Source organism: Homo sapiens, chromosome 10, assembly GCF_000001405.40.
Source record: "Homo sapiens chromosome 10, GRCh38.p14 Primary Assembly".
In the NCBI taxonomy this organism is placed as follows: domain Eukaryota; kingdom Metazoa; phylum Chordata; class Mammalia; order Primates; family Hominidae; genus Homo; species Homo sapiens.
Window position 1 is genome coordinate 87713904 of NC_000010.11, and position 12019 is coordinate 87725922.

The following is a 12019-nucleotide window of genomic DNA, read 5'->3' on the forward strand; positions in this document are numbered from 1 at the left end:
GGACTTTCTCTCAAGCACTCTGCAAAGCACAAACCCCAGTGTTATCTCAAGGCTATTGAAAACCAAAGTACACAGTGTTTTGTGATTTAGAATTTCACCGTGAAACCTCTTTTTACATTCTTAATCATATTGCTTTTCAGGATCGTGAGAATGCCCGCAAAATACATGAATCAGCAGGGCTGCCATTCTTTGAAATATTTGTAGATGCACCTCTAAATATTTGTGAAAGCAGAGACGTAAAAGGCCTCTATAAAAGGGCCAGAGCTGGGGAGATTAAAGGTAAGAGAATTGGCTAGTAGCGTCTACCAGTTACATAGGCTGTCAGTCCTCAGTCCTTATTCTGTCCTCAGAAATCTTCCTTGAGTTTCAAACTGTTTTCCAAAATTGCATATAACATGCACAACTTTTTATCAGATCATGATATATTCAGTATGCCCAGAGGCTTATTAAAAGGTAGGGTTTTATTTTTAAGAATTGTCATCTCAGCCATATGCAATAACGTTCAGAGAACTAGAATGGATATTTATATGTGAGTGTGTGTGTGTAGAGGAGTGTTTCAGAGTTCTTCCTTATTCTTGTCTTCCTTTTTGATTGTAATCATCTATAGAGGGCTTCAACTTAGCCAGCAGGATTTTGTTGACAATTTGGGGCTTTCCATATTGAAAATACAGCTATATATTTTCTTACTTATGGCTAGAAGTCAAGGATGGCTGTTTGACCTTTTCTGTTAAAGTGTGAATTTTCAGTTTAATACATTATTCCAACATGTGTTTTGCCTTATTGATTAAAAAGATTATTCTGTCAATACAGATGCGATGATTGTCACCCATATGCTTTGCAGGATTTACAGGTATTGATTCTGATTATGAGAAACCTGAAACTCCTGAGCGTGTGCTTAAAACCAATTTGTCCACAGTGAGTGACTGTGTCCACCAGGTAGTGGAACTTCTGCAAGAGCAGGTAGGTGAACCGGTTGTCTTTTTTTATATGTTTAATAAAATCATGAAAGACAATCTATGCCTCTTTACTGAAGCATTCTTTTTACAGTTTTCAAGTTTTTACCAATGCTGTTTCATTTCAGAACATTGTACCCTATACTATAATCAAAGATATCCACGAACTCTTTGTGCCGGAAAACAAACTTGACCACGTCCGAGCTGAGGCTGAAACTCTCCCTTCATTATCAATTACTAAGGTAAGTGGGTGCAGACTGGTCAAATAATTAGGCTTAATATCAGTCATTATAATTTATTTACAATTACTCTTAACAATAAGAAAAGTATAAATAAGGTGCACATAATGTCCATAAATAAAACACTCCTTTTTTTCCAAGTTATTTTTAACCTCTTCTCCAAAGAAATCTCTCACCAAGAATTGCCACAAGGCAGCTGATCAATGCCATGTATGGAGGTGACTGGGAAAATAACTTCTGTATTTGCATTGGACAATTTTACATAGCTGTCATTGTACCAGTAAGTACATCTGGTAGAAAAATATAGCCAGACCAGGATTTTTGTGGATAAAAGAAAGAAAGAATAAACAGTGAATTTTCAACTCAGTTGCACATTTTGGGAATAGATACAACCTAAAAATGTTCAAATAAGTCATCTCAATACAAAATCTTTTCACCACTATTTCATAGGAAACTTCCAAACTTAAATATTTCTGGCCCTTAGATCATGGGTTAGCATAACAGGTGGGGACACTTAAAACATAGAAGGTTCTGCCCTCATCCTCCTGTTAACTGAATAAGAAAGGACTTCCCTGGGGCCAGATGCCTGGAAAACAGAACTTATGAAAATGTTCAACTACTTTTTGTGTTTTGCAGCTGGATCTCCAGTGGGTCCAGGTTTTGAGCGAAGGCTGGGCCACTCCCCTCAAAGGTTTCATGCGGGAGAAGGAGTACTTACAGGTTATGCACTTTGACACCCTGCTAGATGGTATGTTTTTGTTGTTGTTTCTTACTCTTTGTTGTTAAGGAAAAAAAAAAATCTTTCCCAGAAGTTTTGCAGGAACAGGAAGTTAGTCTTTAGTTTGCAAATCTTATTGCAAAACTGTTTGGATCATTTACAGTGTGCTCCATTCTATTATGTTTAAGCTTCCATTTTTAGGATTTTTTGGTTGTTCTCAAAGGTTGTTCCTTTAAAACTAAGGAACTGAAAAATGGTGTAAAGCCAAGAGAAAGACAGGTCTGTTTCATCTCCACTTGCTCTTTGCTGGTGCTGATATTCAGAAGGTAGCACGCAGAAGTACCATTGCCACCTGCTAGGGACATTCCTAGGGCAGCCAAGATGAGGTCAGCACATGTTGCTGACCTCCATGGCACCCTCCACCCTCCAGGTTGCTCATGTCAAGCATTATTGCAACAACTGCTTTCTTTGGTGCATGCTAAAGTGTCAATGTTCATGCCCACACATGAAATATATTAAAATGGTTTCATCCACTACACTCTAACAAAAGAGCATTAAGGCAGCTTTCTGGCCACGAGCTGAATGGCTTTTGGAAAACCAATCTGGTCAAGCTCAGAAACATGTGTTATTGTGAAGACTTCCGGACCCTTCTGTGATCATTTCCTTCCTAGAACTGCCTGAACTTATCAAATAAACTTATCTATTTCAAGACCTTCGGGGAATGGCTGCTAAGTGGGGAAGGAGTAGGGGTAGAGTCACGCTGAATTTGTAATGCTGAGCAGGGCTCCAAGCCTTTTAGGAAGAAAAATCAAATAAGATGCTCTTTTTTGGGAGAGGTGTTCATGTCCTGTGTTTGTGCCTTTGCCTGGGGAATGGGGCATGAACTCAGAATCAGAACTCAAAGACTGATCAGCATGGGCCCTCTTCCCTTATTCTTTTGCTGTGACAGATAACACCCCACAACCTGAATCCTTCACTTCTCAGATTAAATAATATTCCCCAAAGACACTTAGTTTACTTCTAGCTTGCTTTAACAACAAAAATAATAATGCATATCCCTATACCACGTCTCTGTTTTCAAAGCATTTTCTCAGGCATTATTTCATTTGATCCTCACAAAAGCCCTAGAAAACAGGCAGCAATTATTATCCCACTTTACAGATGAGGAAACTGCCTCAGATTAAGTGATTTGCTCATAACATTCATAAGTGAAAGCCCAAGACCAGAGTCCAGAATCTTAGGAATCCTGGCCCAGTGCTCCTTACATACCAGTCTGCTCTCCTGATGTCTTTTCCAATAGAATCTACAAGGCCTGATGGTCTACAAGGAAGGCTGACTTTTATCTTGGTGTCTTGATTTTGACACATGCTGAACACCGACTGCCTGAAGTAAAGGTCATTGGACTTAGCAGCTAGCCATGAGCAAGAGGTTGATTTTGAGCATATGAACAGAGCTGTGGCCAAAAGACAAGTGAACTACATTGAAAGAGGGGGCCTCATTACAGACAACAAGGTGCTGTTGACCTTGGACAAGTGTTCCTCTCATAAAGAAAAATACTAGGGTGGTGGAAGTGGTTGCAGAGGTCAGTGTTAATGGAAATCAGAGGTCCTTAGCCTGAGATCTAGGACTTCAGGGTGGGCTAACAAAAAATCTTAGAGGCAAAAATGTTTGTGTTTTGATAAGGGAAGGAAGGAGCATTTTCCTGGGTTGAGAATTTATAGCTTTTGATAGATTCTGTTTTTTCCTTTAATTATTTTTTATTTTTTAGAAATAGGGTCTTGCTCCATCACCCAGGCTAGAGTGCAGTGGCATGATCATAGCTCACTGAAGCCTTGAACTCCTGAATTCAAGCAATCCTTCCACCTCTGCCTCCTGGGTAGCTGGGACTACAGGCATGTACCACCATGCCTGGCAGATTTCTAAATTTGTTTTGTAGAGATAAGGTCTCACTATGTTGCCCAGGGATAAGGTCTCACAGTGTTGCCCAGGCTGATCTTGAATTCCTTTCCTCCAGTCATCCTCCTGCCTTGGCCTTGCAAAGTGCTATTATAGACAACAAATTCTTAAAAGAGTCTGTGATCCAAAAAGATGAAGAACAGCTAATGCAGATAATCCATCTGGATGATTTAGGCAAAATCTCTAGCCTTTCTTTTACACTGTCTCAATTTCATTTTATGGGGGTTTTTCAACTTGCAAAACCTGTTGATTTTCTTTTTTCTTTTCTTTTTTTTCTTTTTTCTTTTTTTTGAGACAGAGTCTTGCTCTGTCACCCAGGCTGGAGTGCAGTGGCATGATCTCAGCTCACTGCAACCTCTGCCTCCCGGGTTCAAGCGATTCTCCTGAGTAGCTAGGACTACAGGTGCATGCCACCATGCATGGCTAAGTTTTGTATTTTTAGTAGAGACAGGGTTTCACTATGTTGGCCAGGCTGGTCTTGAGCTCCTTGACTTCAGATAATCTGCCCGCCTCAGCCTCCCAAAGTGCTGAGATTACAGGTGTGAGCCACGGTACCCTGCCAACCCATTGATTTTCTATTTCTTATTTGATGCTCACTACCGTGAGGTGGATGAAGCACTTATTATTGCTCCCACTTTCCATGTAATCCAGATGTCTGTCCCCGCAAACCCACCAGCCTGGGGATATGAATGAGGTTACCTTCCCATTAATACTTGAAGCCTACTAGTTCCAAGCCCCTACCTGCTCATGCAGAAAGCCCAGTTCTTTCAAAAGCCTACCCAAGTGTTTTTGGGAGTCCCCAAGGGGTGCGTTTCCTGTGTTCCTGAGTCAGGGCCCCAGCCATGTGCCACTTGCTGTGTGATTCTGTGGGTCTGTCTGTACTCAGAAGTGCAGATCATGCTGGGTCACTCCAGCCACCAAAGTTTTGGTGCCAGTAGGGCTTTTGCAGTTTATGGACTCTTCTTCAAGTGGGAAAAATTGTTTCCTTCCTCTGTATTAACCTCAATTGAAGACTGTCTAGGAGGTTGCTTTAGTTCCACAGTGTTAGAGAATTGAGTGAGGCAACTCTTGTAAGGTGTATAGATCCCTTTATCCTCATGTGGCTCCAGTGTGGCTCTGTCAGGAGGGTTCAAGATCAGATGTTTTGCTATTTCCATATCCTTTCCCCTTCCAAGCTGCAGGACCTGTGTCTGAAACTTTCTGTAAGATTCTTCTTTTCCCTGTGGGAATTATCTGCTGGTTCCACCATCTACCTCTGCAAACAGAGTCCACTGGACATACTTATACAACCCCAGTTATGATCAGGATTCTGAGCTCTGCACAGCCCACAGAAGCATCCTAAATGCCTGTGTAAATTGATAATAAAAATAGATAATCAGGGATATGATGTGCTGCCCACCCCTACCACTCGCCGTATGTTAAGTTACTTTGGGTCTAAGTAGAGGCAGAATATCACAGTGGATGAGAGTGTGAGCTGCGAAGTCACACTGTCTAGGTTTGTATGTCAGTGATTAGCTATGAACCTGGGCCAAATTACTTAAACTCTCTGGGCTTTGTTCCTTCATCTGTATAATGGGGATGTTAATAACTGTACCTACCTACCTCATTGGATGTTGAAAGTTTAAAAGAATGCCTGATTCAATAGTCAGTATTTCATACATATTAGCTATTATGAACAAACCACTCTGCATACAGTTAAAAGAATTTGTCAGGCATGGTGGCTCATGACCGTAGTCCCAGCTACTCAGAGCCTAAGGCGGGAGGATCACTTGAGCCCAGGAGCTAGAGTCCCACCTGGGCAACATAGGGAAACTTTGTCTCTAAAAATAAATACATAAATAAAAGAACCTGGAGTCTTGAAGAGACTAAGTGACTTTATCCCTAGTCACATCAATTTGGAAGTAGCACAGATACGATGTTCGTCAGCTAGCCAACAGATATACACTGAGTGCCCCCCATGTGCCAGGGTTTTTCTAGCGTCTGGAGATAGAATGGTAATGAAGGCAGGTGAGCTTGCTGAGAAATACAGTACAGTCATTTTCTGAGACCTAGTCCAGTAAGTCCTTCCCGCCCCCCATCAGTGGTTGTGAAACTTTCTTTTTTATTTTCTTTTTCTTATTTTATTTTATTTTTTGAGACAGAGTCTCGCTCTGTTGCCCAGGCTGGAGTGCAGTGGCGCGATCTCTGCTCACTGCAACCTCTGCCTCCTGGGTTCAAGCAATTCTTCTGCCTCAGCCTACCAAGTAGCTGAGACTACAGGCGCTTGCCACGAAGCCCAGGAAATTTTTGTATTTTTAGTAGAGATGGGGTTTCACCATATTGGCCAGGCTGGTCTTGAACTCCTGACCTCAAGTGATCCACCTGCCTCAGCCTCCTAAAGTGCTAGGATTAGAGCCATGAGCCGCTGCACGCAGCCGAAACTTTCTTTTTTAAACCAGATAATTCTTTATTTCATTTCAAAAATCAGAGGCAATCTACACAACAAAATGGAACTGCCTCACTCCCCCAGTAGAAGGGAGTAGGGGCTTGGGCTCCCTTTCACCTGGAGAGCAGCCTGGAGGGTATCAGGAGGAAGCCATTTGAAACGCAGCAACAGAGGCTCCTGACAGTGCCTCACCTGATGGCGTTTGGACTGAGGAGACAGAGTTAAATTGTAAAAAGTGATTTATTTCTATGTCAGAATGTTGGGCAAGATATCATTTATATAGATATCATTTAATTGTAACCAATTCATGAAGGTTTGAGTCACTGCCATTGAAAATTTGAAATGATCTCCACAGCCACAGACATGTGCCCACTTTTGTCTTCCTTCAAACCATTGCAAATTTCTTGATTACCTACAATCTGAAAGCAACATTGTTTTTATTCTGACCATGTCTCCTAAAAATATTTTGTTGGTTTTAATTTTCTCAAAGGTTTATATTTTCCCCTAAATTTAAAAATAAAATAGTTCTGTCTACTCAGTCCAAAAGCCAAAAAAAAACCCCAAAACAAAAACCAAATCACTTGTTAGAGTATATGATAATTGTGTAGTATGAGTCACTCCATATTATTACTCAAGAATCTACTTTTATATCAGTGTATCATATCACTTTATTTCTCACTAGAAGTATAGTTCCAGGGTTGTCACAGACCCTTTGATCATAAATGTCACATTTAAATTTAAAAATGCAACCTCAAGCTTGTGTTGACTGATGGCATCCAAGTAGGATCAAGACAGGGGAGCCTTGTGAGACTCCATCATTTAATGGCTATTCTTCCGCAGCTCTGACTTTCCAAGGGAGGGTGTGAGAGTACTCTGCATATATCACCAGCACTTATTGAGCACCAATTGTGTTCTGACACTGGAGTTTGACATAGATTATTACATTTAATCAGGATAATACCACTGTGAAGATATTTTGTCCACTTGAGAAAATATGTATTAGAAAGGTTAAATAACTTATTTGAAGCCTAGACTTAAATCCAGGTTGTCCTGGATCTAATGTTGGTGCTTGTTCTGCTGAGCATATTTTCATGTCCTCTAACCATGTGAGATTCTAGGATGTTCTAGGGCAGTTTGCTTCTATACTTGCTCCCAAAGCCTAGTTTGGAAACTATTCTACAGTGGTTGTGAGATCACATGTTTGCAAGAGAAAACTTCTTGGTGAAGCTGGAGGGGACATTAACATATGTTATAATTATTTTAAAACAGATATCTCTTCCCAGTGGATGGAAAAATAAATAAATAAAAAATTAGAAAACCAGATAAACATCTGAACAATGCTTTTGGATTGTATTGAACAACATTCCATACAAGTTCTGATTTCACCAGCTTTTTGCTATTATATACTCTCTATTTTTAAAAATAGCATGACAAAGCTAGTATATTTGTATGTTGTATATGTGAAGTGTCATAATAGGAATTTGTTCTTTGACATTGTTGCTGTAAGATTCGTTTGGTGGAGAGCTGAAAATGTTTCTTAATTGTGTTTATATTTCCCTAGGCATGGCCCTTCCTGGTATGTACTTTAACTTTCCAAGTAGCTAAATTATTATAATTATATATGTTAAATTAACTGGAAATGGTTAAGAACATAACTAAAAGAAAATCTACATTAACCAGTTGGAATCGCTATTAGTTCATGATCCAACCAGCTATAGTAGAATAACACTGTATTTTTCTTTAGACTGGAGTCCAAACAACAGGAAATTTCCCAACCAGATGTAGCTATTGTGTATGATGTAGCATTTGGCTGACAAAAGTAAACTTGTTTCTAAATTATCATTGTACATTTTGTTCCTGAGTCTTTTACATTTATGATCCTCTTCCAATGACTGTTGGTCCTCATTTAGTTTCACAAAGCTGGAAATTTTTTTTCCTACAGTGTTTATAAAAGATTTTAAGTTGATGAAGAATAAATCGATTTAAACTGAATGTACCTGGTTGGATTGTGTATGATTGTACTTCATTTGTTTGCAATGTATGATTATGCATGAACTTAATTTCAAGCCATTATGGTTGCTTGTTATGGAACTGGGAGTAAATATACATTTGCTGTGACTGTAAACTTCTGCATTGTACAAGAATGAAAAGGTAGAATTCTGAATATGTCATCTATCTTTGGTGTTGCTTTCATCATTGTTGTTTTTCCTTTAAAAAGCCCAGTTAAGCAATAAAAAGTAATTTAGGTTTTGCACAGAAACAGTCCCAAACAACCATGAAGCAGATCTATAAGGCTAACACAGAAGGCTTGAAAATTATTGAAAGCAAAAGAAAAATCATTCCATTGAACAATAAGCTATCTCTTGGACTTACTGTGGTTAAAGAACCACAATATTCTTTTTCAAAATAAGATATACCACAATAAAATAATCAAGGCAGTGCCCACCAGAGCCAAATGAAGCACATGAAGGAAAAGGCTGAAAACTCAAGTCAGGGTTGAAAGTCATGGGTGATGTTTCAGCACAGTTCAAGTATTACATCTTAGTAATAGTTGGATACGTTTATATATTAGAAAGGTTGATAAAGATGATAGGGAAACTACAGTAAATCTGTGTATACACATGTAGTGTTGTAGCTACAGGCTTATAAGATCAGTTGGCATTATTACTTGGCAGAACTCCTTTCTATAACATCCCACAGATTCACTTCCTTATTGAGACAACCTGCCAGAGTGTTATTTAGTCATTTCAGATTTTCACTCAAGGCCAAGATGAAGGTAGATTAGAGGCTAAATTGGTCAGGAATCTAGTGGACAAGAGGAGGTGGCTGCAACAGTGAAACATCCCTTGGATTTCAAGTCAGAATACTTGATGGAAGGCAACGTTACAGACGTGTTGCAGGCAGCGCTAGGTTCTTTCAGCACCCTGCTCCACATTTTGCTTTGCATTTTGCTTTATTTCGGCCAAGTCATTCTTTATAAGCAGAGGCAAATATCATGGTCTTCCTTTCAGCAATGTGGTCAGTAAGCAATCCACAGAAAGCATGATTTCTAGTGACAACGACAGCATTTCTGAAGGGGTTATTCTTTGTTAGCCTCTCTCCCTTTTCCTCAACTAGACTATGCAGTGGATTTAATCATCTTCCATCAGCAACCTCCATTAACATAGTGCTTTACAGTTTGCCCCCTGCAGCAACCCATGGAGATACATGTCATTTATTAGCCCATTTTTCCAGTGAGGAAACTGAGTTTAGAAAAGTTGAATGACACACATAGTAAAAGGGAGAACTGCTGCCTTTGAATTTAGTGTTCTCTGCAAAGGACTTAGCTGCTCTAATTGCCCGAGAACGTTGAAACAAAGAGTTATTTGAATGACACACCATTACTTTCTGTATGTACACAGTATCTAGTTTGTGGTTTATAAAGGGTCTCAAAGTATATTGCAGGATTTTATGATAGACCGGATTTGTTTATTGCCGGCAGTTGCTGTCTATTTCCGGTGACATTCTTTAGGTTCTAGTAACCTTTGGAGAGTGTTTAAAAGGTGCAAAGTGATATGCCTGGAAAGTTTAGTTTCATAACTACTAGGGGGAGTCTTATGCCCCGAAGGAATAGAACTCTAATCTTTAACTCTGTCAGAGGCCTTCTAAATGTTGCATTGAAAAGTTAGGTTTAAATGGCTTCATTAATCATGGCACATTCCCTCAGGTCCATAAATAACTGCATTTGCTTCCTCTGGAGTTAAATGTTTTCTTTATTCACCTTCCTTTCATTCTCTTCTGAATCTTGAACTTGAGAACTCTCACAAAATTGTCCCTAATATTATTTTGTGTTATACGCTTAACCATGAGCCCTCATTTTCTCATCTGTGAGTATAATTGAGAGAATAGCCTATTTGTGAGGGCATCATTGTAGGAGGAACACCGTTTTGTACATTTTTTTACATTATCTAGAATCATAGAGAAATGAGATGTTTTTAGAAAGCCAAATTTTATCCCTTTAAGCCCCAGACTGAAAACCAACTACACATTAACTATCTTATTTAGAAACATTTCAAAATAGTCTTACTAAAAAAAAAAAAGTATTCACTCAAAAAAAAAGAGAATATGTTCAATATAAAGGAACTTTTAAAAATGACTCTGTCATTATTAGTTTTACCAGTTATTAAACTGGGCACTAATGTAATGGTGCCCTGAAGATGGGGAGACCTGTGGGATTGTTGGCTCCCACACTAAAGAACCCCCATAACTCTGTATTTCAGTTTCAGTGTTAGAACCTTGTATAGTCAGGGTTCTCCAGAGAAACAGAACAAACAGGATGCATATCTGTGTGTCTATCTATATACAGATATGCATCTCTCTATATAGACATAGATATAAAATATATGTAACATATTTAAATAAATTTATATATATGCATGTACATATATTAATTTATACATATATTAATTATATATATACATTATTTTAATAAATTATTTATTATTATGGAGCCTTATCTCTCTATGTATTATACATTGATATCTATATATAACATATAGATATTATATCTGAATTATATAATATTTCTGATATATATCTGAATAGATAACAATATATCTGTATGTTACATATGGATATCTATGTATTATATATAGGTATACAATAAATCTCTGTCTATACACACACACACACACACACATACACACATAGAAAGAGAGAGATTTATTTTAAGGAATTGGTTCGTGTGATTGTGGAATCTGGCAAGTCCGAAAACTGGGAGGCTGGGGACCCCGAGAAGACCTGCGGTTCAAGTCCACAGGCGGTCTGCTGGCATAATTCTCTCCTTTTCTGGGGAGAAGAGTCTTTTGTCTAATTAGGCCTTTGACTGATTGGATGAGGCCCACTCACATTCTGGAGGGTACTCTACTTTACTCAAAGTCTACTGATTTAAATGTTAATCCCATCTAAAAAGTACCTCTACAGAAACATCTAGAATAATGTTTGACTAAATATCTGAGTACTGTGGCCTAGCTAAGTTGACATATAACATCAACCATCACAGTTTCTATGTGTATTTTTTCAGTAGTTTTCCTGTCTCTTCCTTTGTGGTCCAGCTGTCATTGGACATTTCTTGCTGCTGAAGATGTAGCTTCTCTGAATACCACATTCGATGCCTTCTAATTTGCTGTGCTGTATACTGAGAAATCAGAACACCCTGTTTATTTAAATTCCTCTTAAAGCAAGAGACTCAGCATAATGGTGAGAGGAGCTCACACTCCAGAGAAAGTACATGTGCGTTAATGACTTGATGTCATTTTTCACTCCTCTGTGGTTTTGGACAGATGATTCTCAACTGTGGTTGCGTTAGCAAGACCTGTGATTCCCAGATAAGTGAGATTACCAGTATCCTAAAAAATATTTAGGAAAGAGGGAGCAGGAGGGGGAAGAAAAGGTGATTTTATGCTGAAACCACCATGAATAACATCAAGAGGACTGCTCGTTTGGGATCCCATAGATTAGTGGGTTTTGTTTTGTTTTTTGAGACAGGATCTTGCTCTATCACCCAGGCTGGAGTACAGTGGAGTGATCAGGGCTCATTGCAGCCTCAAACTCCTGGGCTCAGGTGACCCTCTTGCCTCAGCCTCCTGAGTCGCTGGGACTACAAGTGCATGCCAACATGTCCAGCTAATTTAAAAAAAATATGTGTGTATACACACACACACACACACACACACACACACATATTTTT

The 12019-nt window shown here is 39.0% G+C and overlaps 1 protein-coding gene across 2 annotated transcripts in view; it reads left to right on the forward strand.

Moving 5' to 3' along the window:
* Window positions 1-12019, forward strand: part of PAPSS2 (3'-phosphoadenosine 5'-phosphosulfate synthase 2) — an 87828-nt gene that overhangs the window by 54026 nt on the left and 21783 nt on the right. The window contains exons 4-8 of one of the 2 annotated variants that reach the window (NM_001015880.2): window positions 141-279; window positions 842-960; window positions 1082-1195; window positions 1829-1940; window positions 7853-7867. In NM_001015880.2, the coding sequence (NP_001015880.1) occupies window positions 141-279; window positions 842-960; window positions 1082-1195; window positions 1829-1940; window positions 7853-7867 (499 nt within the window). The remainder of the gene's footprint in view (window positions 1-140; window positions 280-841; window positions 961-1081; window positions 1196-1828; window positions 1941-7852; window positions 7868-12019) is intronic. The other variant, NM_004670.4, reaches the window with a different exon arrangement.